The sequence below is a fragment of the Homo sapiens genome, chromosome 6 (assembly GCF_000001405.40).
Source record: "Homo sapiens chromosome 6, GRCh38.p14 Primary Assembly".
In the NCBI taxonomy this organism is placed as follows: domain Eukaryota; kingdom Metazoa; phylum Chordata; class Mammalia; order Primates; family Hominidae; genus Homo; species Homo sapiens.
Window position 1 is genome coordinate 84950165 of NC_000006.12, and position 18162 is coordinate 84968326.

The 18162-nt window shown below is 41.1% G+C and overlaps 1 long non-coding RNA gene across 1 annotated transcript; it reads right to left on the reverse strand.

The window, feature by feature from the left end:
• Window positions 1-11570: 11570 nt before the first annotated feature.
• LOC105377881 (uncharacterized) lies at window positions 11571-17640 on the reverse strand. The gene is made up of 3 exons (XR_942746.2): window positions 17601-17640; window positions 15135-15339; window positions 11571-11649 (listed from the first exon to the last, which is right to left on the reverse strand). It is a non-coding gene; the product is annotated as an uncharacterized LOC105377881 (long non-coding RNA).
• Window positions 17641-18162: the final 522 nt, after the last annotated feature.

Here is an 18162-nt window from a genome sequence, read left to right on the forward strand (position 1 = left end):
GTCTGTTGGGGTGGGGGCAAGTGGAGTGATAGCATTAAGACAATGCAAATTCTTCATACAGGAACAAAAGAATAATTAGCAGCCATGATTGACAAGGAAATTGAGGACTGCGTGTTACATTGTAAACCCTGAGAGTAAGAAAACATGCCCAGTATTGGATAATGATTATGAAGAGTACTCAAGAAAATAAATAAAATGGACTGTGTTGTTTTAAAAGAAAGACTGTTAACGCCGGGCACAGTGGCTCACGCCTGTAATCCCAGCACTTTGGGAGGCCAAGGCGGGTGAATCACAAGGTCAGGAGATCAAAACCATCCTTGCTAACACGGTGAAATCTCATCTCTACTAAAAATACAAAAAATTGGCCGGACCTGGTGGCAGGTGCCTGTAGTCCCAGCTACTCAGGAGGCTGAGGCAGGAGAATGTCGTGAACCCAGGAGGTGGAGTTTGCAGTGAGCCAAGATCGCACCACTGCACTCCAGCCTGGGCGACAGAGTCAGACTCCATCTCAAAAAAAATAAAAATAAAAATAAATAAATAAAATAAAGACTGTTATTCCCTCCTCTCAGATGTAAATAAAATTATATTTCTTAAGTTACTGAAACTTAGAAGCATTTCCAGCAACTGTGGTAATAAGCTGGACAATGGCTTGCATGGGAATCATAAACTTCCTTACTTATAATATCTTGATTCTTAGTTAAATAAAGATACTTCCTCTAAGGGGTACACTACCAAATGTAACATTGTCAATATAATATTTTTACTATTATCTGGTTCAAGCCAGATCCCTTCTTGTTTGTTTTTAGTAAAGGCTAAAACCACTAATCTGATTATACAACACTGAGAACTACAGATAGTATAGTACTATATAGCCCTACTCTGAAAACAGAAGTTCATCACTTTTGTTCTTCTTTGAATCTTGGAAAAATTCCCTAAAAACTTTCTGAGCTAGAAGAAACCTTCACAAGTAGGACATTTTCCCATTTACTTCATATGTCAGGTTTTGGCCAGGGCAACAAGGGCACCATATTGCTATACTTTAGAGTCCTTTAACCTCTGGGTCAGGATGATGGTGATGTTTGCTAATGGTACATTCTTTAAGTCACAAATGAGAATGGATCCCTGCTGAACCCCCCACACCCCTCCTAATTGTATAGAGGGCAAAAGGGAGAGAAGGGAGTAAAGGTAACTACACAAACAATTTGAGAATCTCTCAGAATATAATAAATGATAATATTACAATCCCACCCACATTCCATTAGCCAGGACTCATTCACATGGCCACAACCTAACTGCAAGGGAAGCTGTAAAGTATAGCCTTCCTTTGTGTCTAGAAAAAGAAAATTGGATAGTGAACACAGCATTGTTGCATTTATAAGAGCAACTCAACCTCAAGAATAATTAGAGGGATGAAAATTCAAACAGTAAATACAATTTAACCCATTAATTGTCAAGAATTAGAAATTAAAATAATATAAAGGTGGGATGTGGAAATAGAAACAGACATAGACTAGGGGTGGGTTTCTGAATTCATTCTGGTGAGCAGCTAGTGCACTTGAATATGCACATACCCTAAGATCCAGCAATTCTATTTCTGAGTAAATGCTCTATAGTAATTTTTGTATAGATGTCCAAGGAGATTTATATAAGAATGTTGTTTACAGAGTTATGGGTAAAAGTCAAGGCAATGAGAAGGTCTATCAATAAGAAAATACATAAGCAAAATGGAGCATATATCCAATCAGTATAATAATACATAGTGATCAGAAGCAATTAATATACAAAAATATAAACAGATTTTTATGTAAATTTTGCATAAAATTTTAAAAAATATAATAATACTATATATTAGGATGCATATTTTATAAAAATAAGTGAAAGTTGGAATGCAAGGACATGCACAGAATGGGTGCCTATGAGGTGGAAGGGGAATGGTATTGTCTTAGCCCATTTTCTGCTGCTATAACAGAATATCACAGACTGGGTAATTTATAGACAAAAGAAGTTTATTTGGCTCAATGTTCTGGAGGCTGGGAAGTTTAAGAGCATGGCCTCAGTATCTGGTTAGGGTTATCCCATGGCAGAAGGCAGAAGGCAAGAGAGCAGGTGTGAGAGGGTTTGCTTTTTCTCATGAGAACTGACCTACTCCTGCACTAACAGCAATAATCCATTCATGAGGATGGAGCCACTAAGATCTAATCACTGCTTAAAAGTCCCACCTCTTAATGTTGTTACAATGGCAATTAAATTCCAACATGAGTTTGCAGGTATACATTCAAACCAAAACATGGAGGAAGATAGAAAATAAAAAAAATTCCAAAAAGAAGTGGGCAGACCCAGACTTATACTTAGTAGTGTCTCATCAGCTAGGAAGTCTAATTAACAAATTCTGGCTATCTGAGGTTTAGCTCTATTACCTCTGTATACAAACTGTGAGAACCATGGGAGAAATTCAGATTAGGGGATTATGTTGTATGATCATTTCTTCTACTTCTGGTTTTGTTGTTGTTGTTTGTTTTTTGGTTTTTGGTTGTTTTTTTTTTTTTTTTTTTTGAGACAGAGTCTCACTATGTCACCTATGCTGGAGTGCAGTGGAGCGATCTCAACTCACTGCAACCTCCACTTCCTGGGTTCAAGCAATTCTACTGCCTCAGCCTCCCAAGTAACTGGCTGAAACTACAGGCGTGTGCCACCATGCCTGACTTTTTTTTTTTTTTTTTTGTATTTTTAGTAGAGATAGGGTTTCACCAGGTTGGACAGTCTGGTCTCGAACTCTTCACCTCAAGTGATCTGCTTGCCTTGGCCTCCCAAAGTGCTGGGATTACAGGTGTGAGCCAATACGCCGAGTCCATTTCTTCTACTTCTAAGTGGCATTTAAATTATACATGTTTGGATTTAGCTTCCACACATTCTTTGAATTCTATGCCACTAATAGTTTAAGAAGCAGGATTGCTGAAGGAACCAGAGAGATTATCTGGTCCAATCTTATTTCACAGATAAGGAAACTGAGACTTCAAACAGGAAATCTCCAAGGCCTCCTTTTAGTTCTTGGCTTCTTTTTATATGTGCATTTTATTTAAGTTCATTTGAAGAATCTGTTTCCTTTTCTGAACGCTATCTTTCTTCTCTGCAGGATAGCTTTCAGATTCAGGAAAAACAGGAGGCTGAAGAGGATTCAAACCAAAGCTATTTTAAGTGTAAGAATCTAGGCAGATAAATAAGAACATGTTTTTTAACTTACTTAAATTGTGTGCATCTGCATTTATTTGTTTTCAGATTTTGGATGTTCTGTGGGTGGTAGCCCAGGATAAAACACACACAGACATTTGCTTTGGGGCTGCACAGCACAAATAGCATTACCACTGCAGAAAGGAATGTAAAAGCAAAAAGCCAACAATGGGTCAGAATACAGATTTGCAGGCAGTCTAGGCACACGGAAGGTCCATGATTTTCCTCTATCTTTTCCTCCCCTTGGAAGTGAGTCTTCAAAAGAAGCAAACATCTTATTAGTACTTTTAACTAACTACTGCTCTGTGTCCTGGTTACAGTCATCTACTGCCAAGTTGCTATTTGGACAACAATTAATTATCAGCTGTCTGGACTAGCTCATCATAAACATATTACAGTGTTTCATCACTCATGTTTTATTTAATTTCACTTGTCATCAAGGTCCTTGATTGGAGCTTTATGATTTTTTTTTTTTTTTTGAGAGAGGTGATTTTTACTTCTGTTGGAAACTGCCTGTGATTGATCTTATATTTTTCCACAAAGGCATGGATGATCCTCTCTCACCCAACAACATGGCTAAGGCCTGGTGCTCTCTATGGAAGCTCCAAGCAGGAGCTGGACCATTTATTCTAATCATAATGCTAAAGAAGCTAAATGAGAGACACATGAGGATGTTTGGGTGGTATAATCTGTCTTCAGTTACTAATGACATTTCCAGTGTGGAATTGCTAATAGGAAGGCCTCAGGACCACTTCACAAATTTCAGATGGGAGAAATTAGTGAGCACCCATGTAGGTTTTGTGAACAAGGAAAATTTAAAACATGAGATAGTTTTCCATGGAGATGTTTGTATCTTGCCCAATGCTCTGGCAATGATACAGAGCACCCATACTCAACACAAAAAAAAATCTTATGCAAACACTGAAATACACCAAATGATTTTCTCATTACACAGATCACAGGTCTTCTGGTCAGCCTCATAGTGAGGCCAGTGGAATAACTTGGACCAAGCCCTGAAGCTGACACTCAGGTAAGTGGGGACAGGTGTATGAGAGATCTTCTACTGAGATATGTGTCAGTCAGCCAAACACACTCACAGCATGTCCCTGGTCCTCTTCTAACATGGACAAGGTGCATGTGAAATACGCTTCCTCCAGAGGGAAACCACACTCTCCAATGAATTCCTTGATCATAGCCCGTGGGTTTTGTTCCCAGCCAGAAAGGGTAGATTTTGCCCACTGATTATCCAAAGGGATTGAGAAAAGAGCTTTCTATTTGAAGATGCTTCTTGTCATATGAGGCTTTTCAGTCCAACTTTAGGGTTTCCTTCTTTGACGAGGGTTGGAGGAAGGTAAGAATTAAACAATGGGACAAAAGTCTAAAGTCTGTACATATACCACACGCTTAAAACATGAATTTGCCCAAAGACTTTATATCTATAATTTCCCCCAATCAGGTATTATGCACCCATGGCCAGCGTTCTTTGGAGCTGATTCTAACTTTCTAAGAATATTTGAAACAACCCTGTTACTTAGCTCAGGATGATCTGCTTTTGTACATACAAGAGAAAGAGAGAAGGAACTTGAGCTGCAAAAACAGTTAATAAAACTATGTCTTGTTATGAAAGAAACAGCATAATATTAATAATAACCATGTCTTTCATTAGTAAACTACTATGTCTTTCATTTGTATAATTTTGTAAATAATAACCCATAAAATACATTATTATATTGATCAGCAAGAGATATCAGTCATTCTAGATGTACTCAGCAGCTGTTAGTACTAGGAAAAGGTGGGAAGGTAAAAAAGGTAAGTTAGATATAGCTCTTTCCCTCAGGATATTCAGAGTGTACTTTAGGAGTAGATGCATACATGAAATATTGCATAGTAATAAAAGCACTATAAATACTAAAATGACCAAAGGGCTATAGAAACCAGAAAAGGTAGTATAGAGTTTCTATATGAGTATATAAATGTTCCATATATGTATATTGGAATAACTGCAAAAACTTAGTAAAAAGAACGTCTTTTTTTAATCAAACATTTTCTTTATGTCTATTAAATGGCTTTGGGCAAGTTCTTTGGATGAGCAATCAATATGAATACAGAAACCAAAGTAGATTATAAGCTTCATGAGGGCAAGAGTAATACAGGCTTATTCATTACCATGTGATATGGTTTGGCTGTGTCCCCACCCAAATCTCATTTTGAATTGTAGCTCCCATAATCCCCACATGTCATGGGAGGGACCCAGTGGGAGGTAATTAAATCATGGGGATAGGTTTTTCCCATGTTGTTCTCATGATAGTAAATAAGCCTCATGAGATCTGACAGTTTTATAAGGGGCAGTTCCCCTGCACATGCCCTCTTGCCTGCTGCTAGGTAAGACATGCCTTTGCTCCTCTTTCACCTTCCCCTATGATTGTGAGGCCTCCCCAGCCATGTGAACTGTGAATCCATTAAACCTCTTTTTCTTTATAAATTACCCAGTCTTGGGTATGTCTTTATTAGTAGTATGAGAACAGACTAATATAGTAAATTGGTACCAGTACAGTGGGGTGCTGCTATAAGGATACCCAAAAATGGAACTGGGTAAAAGGCAGAGGTTGTAACAGTTTGGAAGGCTCAGAAGAAGACAGAAAGATGTGGGAAAGTTTGGAGCTTCCTAGAGACTTGCTGATTAGTTTTGACCAAAAAGTCCAGGCTTAGGTGGTCTCAGATGGAGAGTTAATTGGGAACTGGAGCAAAGGTGATTCTTGTTATGCTTTAGCAAAAAGAGTGGCAGCATTTTGCCCCTGCCCTAGAGAACTGTGGAACTTTGAACTTGAGAGATGATTTAGGGTATCTGGAGAAAGAAATTTCTAAGCACCAAAGCATTCAAGAGGTGACTTGGGTTGTTAAAAGCATTCAGTTTTTTTTTTATTATTATACTTTAAGTTTTAGGGTACATGTGCACAATGTGCAGGTTTGTTACATATGTATACATGTGCCGTGTTGGCATACTGCACCCATTAACCCGTCATTTAGCATTAGGTATATCTCCTAATGCTATCCCTCCCCACCCGCACCCCACAACAGTCCCCGGAGTGTGATGTTCCCCTTCCTGTGTCCATGTGTTCTCATTGTTCAATTCCCACCTATGAGTGAGAACATGTGGTGCTTGGTTTTTTGTCCTTGCGATAGTTTGCTGAGAATGATGATTTCCAGTTTCATCCATGTCCCTACAAAGGACATGAACTCATCATTTTTTATGGCTGCATAGTATTCCATGGTGTATATGTGCCACATTTTCTTAATCCAGTCTATCTATTGTTGTTGGACATTTGGATTGTTTCCAAGTCTTTGCTATTTTGAATAGTGCCGCGATAAACATACGTGTGCATGTGTCTTTATAATAGCATGATTTATAGTCCTTTGGGTATATACTGAGTAATGGGATGGCTGGGTCAAATGGTATTTCTAGTTCTAGAACCCTGAGGAATTGCCACACTGACTTCCACAATGATTGAACTAGTTTACAGTCCCACCAACAGTGTAAAAGTGTTCCTATTTCTCCACATCCTCTCCAGCACCTGTTGTTTCCTGACTTTTTAATGATCACCATTCTAACTGGTGTGAGATGGTATCTCACTGTGGTTTTGATTTGCATTTCTCTGATGGCCAGTGATGATGAGCATTTTTTCATGTGTTTTTTGGCTGCATAAATGTCTTCTTTTGAGAAATGTCTGTTCATATCCTTCACCCACTTTTTGATGGGGTTGTTTGTTTTTTTCTTGTAAATTTGTTGGGGTTCATTGTAGATTCTGGTTATTAGTCCTTTGTCAGATGAGTAGGTTGCGAAAATTTTCTCCCATTCTGTAGGTTGCCTGTTCACTCTGATGGTAATTTCTTTTGCTGTGCAGAAGCTCTTTAGTTTAATTAGATCCCATTTGTCAATTTTGGCTTTTGTTGCCATTGCTTTTGGTGTTTTAGACATGAAGTCCTTGCCCATGCCTATGTCCTGAATGGTATTGCCTAGCATTTCTTCTAGGGTTTTTATGGTTTTAGGTCTCACATGTAAGTCTTTAATCCATCTTGAATTAATTTTTGTATAAGGTGTAAGGAAGGGATCCAGTTTCAGCTTTCTACATATGGCTAGCCAGTTTTCCCAGCACCATTTATTAAATAGGGAATTCTTTCCCTATTGCTTGTTTTTGTCAGGTTTGTCAAAGATCAGATAGTTGTAGATATGTGGCATTATTTCTGAGGGCTCTGTTCTGTTCCATTGATCTATATCTCTGTTTTGGTACCAGTACCATGCTGTTTTGGTTACTGTAGTCTTGTAGTATAGTTTGAAGTCAGGTAGCATGATGCCTCCGGCTTTGTTCTTTTGGCTTAGGATTGACTTGGTGATGCGGGCTCTTTTGTGGTTCCATATGAACTTTAAAGTAGTTTTTTCCAATTCTGTGAAGAAAGTCATTGGTAGCTTGATGGGGATGGCATTGAATCTATAAATTACCTTGGGCAGTATGGCCATTTTCACAATATTGATTCTTCCTACCCATGAGCATGGAATGTTCTTCCATTTGTTTGTATCCTCTTTTATTTCATTGAGCAGTGGTTTGTAGTTCTCCTTGAAGAGGTCCTTCACATCCCTTGTAAGTTGGATTCCTAGGTATTTTTTTTAAACCTAAATTCCAATTCCAAACCATATCTTTGTGAATACATAAAACTGAATACTTCAAAGAGAATAAAGCATTCAGTTTTATGTATTCACAAAGATATGGTTTGGAATTAGAACTTAGGTTTAAAAAAGGAGCAAAGCCTAAAAGTTCAGAAAATTTGCATCCTGATTATGTGATAGAAAAGAAAAACTCATTTTCTGAGGAAAAATTCAAGCCAGCTGTAGACATTTGCATAAGTAACAAGGAGCCAAATGTTAATCACCAAGACAATGGGGAAAATGTCTCCAGGGCATGTAAGAGGTCTTCACAGCAGCCCCTCCCATCACAAGCCAGGAAGCCTAGGAGGAAAAAATGGTTTCATGGGCCGGGCCCAGGGCCTTGCTGTTTTTGGAGTCTCAGGACTTGGCTCTTTGAGTCCCAGCCATGGCTAAAAGGGGCCAATGTACAGCTCAGCTTGTTGTTTCAGAGTTTGCAAGCCCCAAGCCTTGGCTACTTACACATGGTGTTGGGCCTGTGGGTGCACAGAAGTCAAGAATTGAGGTTTGGGAACCTCCACCTAGATTTCAGAGGATGTATAGAAAGTTCTGTATGTCCAGACAGAGGTGTGCTTCAGGGGCTGAGCCCTCGAGGAGAACCTCTGCTAGGGCAATACAGAAGGGAAATGTGGGGTCAGAGCCCCTACACAGATTCCCCACTTTGGCACTGCCTAGTGGAGCTGTGAGAAGAGGGCCACCATCCTCCAGGTGCCAGAATGTTAGATCCACCAACAGCTTGCACTGTGTGCCTGGAAAAGTCACAGATACTCAACCAGCCTGTGAAAGCAGCCAGGAGTGGGACTGTACCCTGCAAAGCCACAGGGCAGAGCTGCCCAAGACCATGCGAACCCATGTCTTGCATCAACATGACCTGGAAGTGAGACATACGGTCAAAGAGATTATTTTGGAGCTTTAAGATTTGACTGCCCTCAATGGATTTCAGACTTGCATGGGACCTGTAGCCCCTTTTTTTTGGCCAATTTCTCCCATTTGGAATAGGAACCTTTGCCCAATGCCTTTAGCCTCATTGTATCTTGGAAGTAACTAATTTGCTTTTGATTTTCCAGACTCATAGGCCAAAGGGACATGACTTGTCTCAGATGAGACTTTGGACTGTGGATATTTGAGTTAATGCTGAAATGAGTTAAGACTTTAGGGGACTGTTGGGAAGGCATGATGGTTTTGAAATGTGAGGACATGAGACATGGGAGGGGCCAGGGGCAGAATGATATGGTTTGATTGTATCCCCACCCAAATCTCATCTTGAATTGTAGCTCCCATAATCCCCATGTGTCAAGGGAGGTACCTGATGCCAGGTAATTGAATCATGGGGGTAGGTTTTTCCCATGCTGTTCTCATGATAGTGAATAAGGCTCATGAGATCTGATGGTTTCAGAAAGGGCAGTTCCCCTACACATGCCCTCTTGCCTGCTGCCATGTAAGACATGACTTTGCTCCTCCTTCACCTTCTGCTATGATTGTGAGGCCTCCCCAGCCACGTGGAAATGTGAGTCCATTAAAACTTTTCTTTATAAGTTACCCAGTCTTGGGTATGTCTTTATTAGCAGCACGAGAACAGATTAATATACCAATTTCTACCTGTCACAGCACTGAAAAAAATAATGCTAACATAAAATAATTTCAAGTGAAATCACCTAAGAGGAGGGGAAGGTATGGGGTACAGAAGAAACTGGAAGAGAGACCCCAAAAGACTATGGGGGTGGTCTTGCAGTCATGAGATGCACTGCCTTATTAGATGCACTTCCAAGGATGGGAGGGAGAGGGCTTAGGCACATGGTGAAGGCTCTGCGTGGAGGAAGAATGGAGGTTGGTCCTGGGTCTAGCAGATGAAGTTAGATTCCTCTTGGCCCCTCGTCCTAGCCCAGACTTCTAGGGGCTCAAGTAGACACATTATGTTCTTAAGATGGAGGGAAATGGCATCAAGAAGGGAAGTCAGGTCCCAAATAAGGAGAAAAGGATGTTGAATGCATCCACAGAAAAGCCTCCTAAGAAGGAACCAGAGCAAGAGCCCACTGGTGGGGCATTCCACAGGGCAGCTCTGGCTGTGGGAATTGAGGGGTCCACCAGAAGCTGGTGAAGATGTGGCAGAAGAGGGGTGGCTATAGGGCTTTGGCTGGAGATTATGCATCACTCAGATGCGATGCTGGAGGGAGAGAACTGGCCTGAGTGGAGGAGGACAGCTGGAAATGGAGGCTTGAGGGGAGCCAATCAATGCAGGGTTCCAGGGGTGGGAAGCTGCTTTGATAATTGGCTCCTGTCAATCCCGGGTAGGAAAAGCAAGCTGCTGCCAGTCAAGTCCCAGCTCCTAGAAGTCCAGGAAATTGGGCCTTGTCTCCCATAAAGTACTGAACTTTTCTCCAGTAAATTTCCTTGAGGAATGAGGTAGCAGAGTGGGCAAGGTGATACACAGCCAGACTTTGAGTCTGTGTCCCTTGGTTATCATTATCCTTGATGAGACTAACTGGGCTTTAACACGAATTCTGGGAAGCCATACATTTTGGCATTAGAGAGTCAAAGGAACAAATCATTAGGGAAGTTTTTTAACCTGAGATTCTTAGCCCCATCTAGAAAATAGGGATGATAAAGTCTACCTCTTAGGATTCTTGTGAGAATCAAATAATACACAATATACCTGGATTTAACTCAGTGTTAAACCCACAGAGGTTCTCGCACTTTGGGTCTCAGGACACTTTTATACACCTAAGTACTTTGAGGACACCAAACATTTACAATTTCACAAATCTCTTTTATGTCTGCCTAAGTAGAAGAAAGCTGGATTCTTATATTTGCCTCTGCATTCAATCTGTTGCATTACGGTTTTTTGTTGTTGTTGAAGGAAGCAAAAAAAAAATCCAAATTCACAGAGATATGTAGCTGGAAAAGGGCTGAGTATTTTTAATAGCCATTTGGCAATTGAGAATACTCTTCTTTTATACCACACCAAAATTTGATGAGGCTGTTTTCTTTTCTTTTCTTTGTTTTCTTTTCTTTTTTCTTTCTTTTCTTTTCTTTTCCTCTCTCTCTCTCTCTTTCTCACTTTTCTTTTCTTTTCTTTTTTTCTTTTCTTTTCTTTTGAGATAGTCTTGCTCTGTCACCCAGGCTGGAGGCTGGACTGCAGTGGTAAAATCTTGGCTCACTGCGACCTCCGCCTCCTGGGTTCAAGTGATTCTTGTTCCTCAGCCTCCTGAGTAGCTGGGATTACAGGCGTGCACCACCACACCTGGCTAATTTTTGTAATTTTTTTTTTTTTTTTTTTTTGAGATGGAGTCTCGCTCTGTCGCCAGGCTGGAATGCAGTGGCACTATCTCAGTTCACTGCAGTCTCCGCCTCCTGGGTTCATGCAATTCCCCGGCCCCAGCCTCCCGAGTAGCAAGGACTGCAGGCGTACAACACCATGCCCAACTAACTTTTTGTATTTTAGTAGAGATGGGGTTTCACCATGTTGGCCAGGATGGTCTTGATCTCCTGACCTCGTGATCTGCCTGCCTCGGCCTCCAAAACTGCTGGGATTACAGGTGTGAGCCACTGCACCCAGCCAATTTTTTGTAATTTTTAGTAGAGATGGGGTTTTGCTATGTTGGTTAGGCTGGTCTCAAACTTCTGACCTCAAATGATCCATCTGCCTTGGCCTCCCAAAGTGCTGCGATTATAGGCCTGAGACACCATGCTGGGCGGAAGGGTTTCTTTAAATGATGGTTACACTGTGAAATTGAAAATCATATTAATGAACTCAAGTCTGTTGCGTCAAAATCCATTGGTCTATTTGCACTTTGAATAAATATTTTTTACCCATGCCTGGTTTTATAACATCATGCATTGGTCATTAAGAAAATACTGGTTCATTAAAGTATGCGGATCTTCCAAATGTTGATACATTTCTTTACACAATATTTTTCAAAATCACATTTGCTAATATCATCACTGATTTCTTCAGAAAAGTTTTTAAGTATTAGGAGATTTCTAGATCACAATGTCGGATATGAGTTTTCCAAAATCTTAACTTTCATTGAAAGCTAAAACTTTATCTTTAGCAGCAAATATGGTTAAGATGTCCTTCAAACAAGAAGGCCATTTCATTTATTTTCAAGAAAATGTCTGCCAAGCACACAAGTCCAAATAACCATATTTTTCTGTCACTCAATATTTCAAGTAAAAAGAAAATAGTGTCCCAGAAAAAAGGTTGTGAGTTCAGCTTACAACTCAATCACCAAGTGCTTCTCCTCAAGGCAACCATCATACTTGAAGATACAGCAGAAATACTTTATGTGTATACTTCTTATCACACAGAATATTAAAAAGATGTATGATCAACGGATGAGATTTAGTAAATTAACACACTAATTGCTTCACAAGAACATTCTTAGGTAAAGCTAGAATTTTGTCTTATTATGACTGTGTGGTGGTGGAGAATACAGTGATTAAGCATGAATTTTGCCCTCAGCTATTCCCACAAATCACTAGAGTGAGCCCAAAATGAAAAGCCTGTGCTCCAGAAAGTGACATGAACAGACTATTAGGGTGATGGATGTGTTCATTATCTTGACTGTAGGGATGGTTTTAGGGATATATATGTATATCAAAACTTATTGAATTGTGCACTATAAATCCATTTAGCTTACTGTGTGCCAATTTTACCTCAATAAAGCTGTTTAAAGAATGAGTGAAGTTAATTAGAATAGTAGCCATTTAATCTACAAGGAAAGTCATACTTCACCGAGTGGTATGTGCTGGATATAAAATGCTTTAGGAATAAATGCTCGGTGCCATGAAGTGAAACCAGCACTCAGGCAAAAGATTAATTCTTTCAGCAAGGCAACTTACTTCTGCAGAAGGGTGCTACCTGTGTCAATCAAGATTGCAAGAGCACACCAAACAAAGAAGACCAGGGGGTTTTTATCCTTAACGCAGTCCCTACTTCTGTGCCACTCCCCCATGGGCTGGGGTCAGACTGAACAATCTGAGCTGACACGATTGGCTACTTATACATATTTTTCTAAATATAGAAGGGGAGGGGGACGTGAAGTACAAAGGTGGAGCGTGTGAGATGTGCAGTTTCAGGGGAACAATGGGTACAGGTAACCAAGGGAACAGATGTGAGTTATTGATTAGTGCTGAAGGGAAAGGGGTAGGCTGTTTTTTAGTAACTAGGGGCAGGAAGGAACAGGAAAGCTGAGTTTGAGAACAAAAGACAAGGAAGTTAGCAGGCTAAATCTTTGAAGAAAAACTCAGAGAAATTCATTGTATCTTACAATTCCTCCCTTTTAAATTTTCTTATGATTCTTTCTCTTCAAACTTTTTTTTAACATGTCTTGGCTTTGCTGTTCGATTTGATCTTCTCAAAAGAAATGCTTACTTGAATAAGGTGTAGCAGAACTAAGGGAGGCTCTAGTAAGTGCTGTTTGTACAATCCTTTGTATTAGCACACGGATGCATGGTATGACACAACACCTAACAAGAATGAGTACACCTATTACGATTGCAAGAGAAATAAGAATTGAGGCTATGATTCCTTTTCATTTACCAAACCACTTTCCTAGCCATCCTGGAATAGGGTCATTGATTCCAGAATTTTTAGCTAATTAATTGGATAAAGCGATAAGTCCTTGTAAAGCCTTTGTTATGCTCCCTTCGCACACAGTGTTGTTTGGGATGAAGGTACAACATTGGGTTTTAATCACCACACAAACTCCACCTTTTTCGGCTAACGACATGTCCAGAACTATTCTGTTTTCCCAAGCCATTTGGCTAGGAGGCCCTAATTGGTCAGCTACTACTTTGATAGCATCCCTAGCATAATTAATAAACCACTGCTGATTATAATAGATGTAATTTATCCAAGCTACATTTTTAGTAATAGTTACCCATGGAAATACGGATTCAAATCCTGCAGCTATTTGGTCACGGGCTTTGAACATGTCAGGCACTCCTTGTGAGACTCCAATGGCATCTATGTACATTTGAGAGTCAAAAGACCCATAAAGGGCTTCTCTTATTTTTCAGTGTTGTGGTTTTTCTTTTTCTGGTTGATGAACTGCCAGGGTGAAAGGGACAGCCAACTGGACAAGAGCACAAGTGCCACTCCGGTTACTTGGCAGAGTGTCTAATAAGGGTCCACTGTAATACCTCCATCCATCCGTTCGAGGATGACTAAGGGCAGACTGATGGGTAAGCTCTTGGAAGGGCTTAAGCTCACTGCATCCCGTTAAGCTTCCAAGGAACACCAAATTCTCCCCCTGTCCTGAGAGACATGAGGTGAAATTGACGTTGGGAGATAGAAGCTGAGTGGTGCTCAGAGGCTGACCCGCAGGGTGTTGGACTTTGGGATACAGCAGAGAGACAGCTTGGCATGATTTGTTGCCTCAGGCTGTGGAATCCTGGAAAAGAGCTACCATACAGCCCATGCCTGTTTATTGAAGGACCATCCTAGTGGAAAGGGGACAATCTGGGCCTCTGGTCTGCCATGTGCACAAGCATAACAATTTCTTTTGTTTAACGTGCGGACTGAATATTGAATCCATTCCAACCGGGCATTAACATCTTGATATCCTGTTTCAATTGCTAGGGTTTGTCTTCAATCTTTTACTTCTACAATATTTATGTTGGCATTGTTGTTAGGTAGGGTAGAAGGTTCTGATGGAGAAGGAGAAGGGGGATCAATAAAGCGTATTTTAAAGAAGACTGTAGGGTCATATCCATTGGCCTCTGCTCCTGAGCCGTAAAAGCATTCTAAAGGGGGTGCAGGGTTGGTGGAGGTTAAGGGTGTTAATAGAGATAGTTACCGGGTTACAATAGTCAAGTTGACAATTAGAGGAGTTGGTTCTTTTGGTGAGGCAGAGGTAAGATTTTAGGTCAGTACAGCCTTCTGGGGAGGTCCCAACGTGTTCTCTGGTAGTTAGGATGACATCTGCCCATTGAGAACATATCTCTCAACTTGGGGTGCCCTGGTACCCCCACCATGAGCAAGGTGTGGGGTCAGCAGCTTCTCTGAAGGGGCAGAGGTATTTTTCTAAGGTAGTGACATACCTTTGCCAGTATTCATCCTTCTCACAAGGTATAACAAGGCAAGCATCAAAGTTAATGATTTGGGGTGAGTCTAAATTAGTTACATTGATAACAAGGTCAGCAATAGAATGAGGAAAGAAGAAAGGGTAATAGAATAGATAAAAGAGGTTAGACTTTTCTTAACCTTAGTTTGAGGGGGATTTTCCCTTGGATAATGGTCCACAACTTGAGGAATGGTGTTGCTTTCTTGACTCGGGTGTGATGGCTCCATCTTTTCTTGCTGCCTGGACTGCGGTTTCAGTGGTGGGAAGTACTAGGCCGGCTCCTCAGGCTGGTGTTGATGTACTGGGAACTCTAGGGGCAGCGCCTGTACTGGAAAATTTTGAGTTCTGAGGGAAGAGAAAGTGGAAGATAAACCAAGTATGTAGGAATGTTGGCAGTGGATTGTTTTGAGAGGTAGTTTGGAATAGGAAGATAGAAGACATTTGATCTCTGGCAACCAAGTCTCTAGACTTATTTGGCTGAGGGTATAAATTCCTATACACTCATAAACTTTGAGTGTGCTATACATGGCTTGGGGTCTTTAATGGGTCCTCTAATGTAGGTGGGATAGGACTTCCTTCATAAGAGGTTTGAATAACATTTCTCTGAGTTCTCTTTAGCGCCTACAGGAGAAATGGCAGCCAGTCCGGCTTTTCTGATTTGCTAGGTTATTTTCTTGACTCTTGAAAGACAGGCTTTTTGGTACCTGGAGACACAGACAATAGCTATTTTCTTTTCTGGTAACTGAAGGTTATTTAAGACTTACGTGATTAACTCCTCATAAACAAGGCTTTGACTTTTACTATTAATTCAGTCTGAAATTTTCTAAATATATGAATTACCACAGAGGCGTATTTAGAATTAGTATAGATGGTTCTTTCTGGGTCCTGCAGGTACTTTAAAGTTTGACTAAGTGCAGACAGCTTATAAATTTGAATAGACTAATTATTAAACACTTTGATTTTATTTCTCTAGGAACTTTTTTTTATTAATTACTGAACACTTATTGTGTTCTTTTTCCCTTAATCACTTTTGAAGGGGGTTTTTCTTAAGTTTGGCCAGATGTTTGTATGGTACTCACTTAAATCTAAACATGTGTGCTTTCTTTTTAGATTTGGATCTCTTGTTAAGAAATGTGATAGGTTAAGTTCTTAGTAGTTAATGTTAAACCATCCTTTTTAACAGAATAGCTTCATACTTATACATTTGTAATTTTTTTCTGGTGGCACATTTTAATATAAGTGACTTTAAAGAATCAAAGTTCTTTTCTGGTGGATACTTCCACCTTTAACACTGGACTGACCACAATAAATGCTAGTAGATATACCAGCTGAAAGATAGTTCTACTTCTTGCTCAGGAAACTTAGCTGCAGAGATGCCTAGCTGCTTGGAGCCTCAGCTGAAGCCCCGTATTACTTGGCGCTGGCAAAAGTAAGGCAGATGACCTATAATGTAGTCTGCTCGGGGCACAGGCTGTGGCCCAGGCTGTGTGTCCTGTAGAGCCACCGTCAATATGGTGCTGGGACCCTGGACCAGCTGGTGGGGCAGGAGCATGGACTTTGGCTGCCGTGGAGGTGCACTATGGGCCGTACAACTCTGACAACATGTTGCGGCGGATCCTTGATGACAAAAGCCACCTGGCAACTTAGGAGCTTGGAGTCCTTTTGAGGAGGGGGACTTAGGCTGGGGAAGAACAGACTTATGGAGTGATACCTGAGGGGAAGGGGGGGGTGTATTAGGTGGGGGATGGTCTAGGGGATCCTGTGTGCTGTTCTTTTTGCTAGGATCCCCTAAGACCCTTCCTTCACTGTCTTTTTCATTCAAGATGATTCTGTCCTTAATGGGGCGCATGTACAACTAATTTTCCTCCAAAGATTAGTTTTTGACTTGCTCCTTTCAATCCTTGGAGGAGGGGAAAGGACAAGGCCTTGCCACCAACATAGGGCATAATCTATTTCCTCTTGGGAGGCAGGTCTTCTACTAGCAACATTTTCTATTAGAAGTTCACAAATCCATTCCTCATTCAACCCAAATTCTGGCCAGAAAACTAAGGGTTCAAGGATTGATCCTTGAGTCCAATTGGAACAGCAGTATTTTATCATTTGTTGCTCTTCTTATGTTTAATATTTTAATTATCTTTCTAATGTTTTAACACGAGACCTAGGGGACTATCAGGAGGTATCTTTGTTGCTAACTTTATCTTTTTTGCTTGTAATATTTCCCATCCAGGGCCCTGCCTAGGCTCAGTTCCTCGTATTAGGAATCTCTTGCCTAGTGGGAGCTTGCTGTGGCTCAACCCCTCATGTTAGGGATCTCTGGCCTATTTGGGGGGTTCCTTGTTGCTTAACCCTTCATATTTGGTGGTCTCTTGCCTATCCTCCACTGGAAGCTTTGCTAAGGCTCAATTCGTCTATCCTTTAGCTCCACCTGCTGGAGTCTTCTTGCATCCTTCTTTTGCTTTGTCTGCTCTGACTGCTTTCCTCGCGGGAATATTGCAGGTCCCTCTTAGCATTGATGGCAGGTCAGAATAAACCCCTGAAGGGACCCCCTGAAGGGCCACCCTAAGCCTTATGAAGTGACCTCGGAACCGCAGATTAGACTCACTCACTCCGTACAGCAGTAGTGCTTGTTATCATTCATGCACTCAGCCTCCGGAATGCCCCAACCCCCACCCCTAACCACCAAGGAAGTGCTTTGTTGCCCCTGTGACGTTTCCTACATTCTGTCTGAGCACAGAGTTTACCTGGTTGCTGTGGTATTGCAACCCTCTCCTCCCCGCATCGCTGAGAGTCCGGGTTCATTTGTCTCAACGGGGGGGTCTCAATCTCTTGTACCTGAGGCCACTGCAACGGGGCAGTGGGACGCCATCTCCTCTGGGTAGGGTGATGGAAGACCCCTTTCAGAAAGAGAATGGGGATCTCGGACGAGCCCCCAGAATTGTTGGATATAAAATGCTTTAGGAATAAATGCTTGATGCCGTGAAGTGAAACCAGCACTCAGCAAGGCAATTTACTTCTGCAGAAGGGTGCTACCTGCATCAATCAAGATCTCACGAGCACACTGAACAAAGACGACCAGGGGCTTTTTTTATTCTTAACATAGTCCCTACCTCTGTGTCACTCCCCCATCAGCTGGGTCGGACCACACAATCTGAGCTGACCCGATTGGCA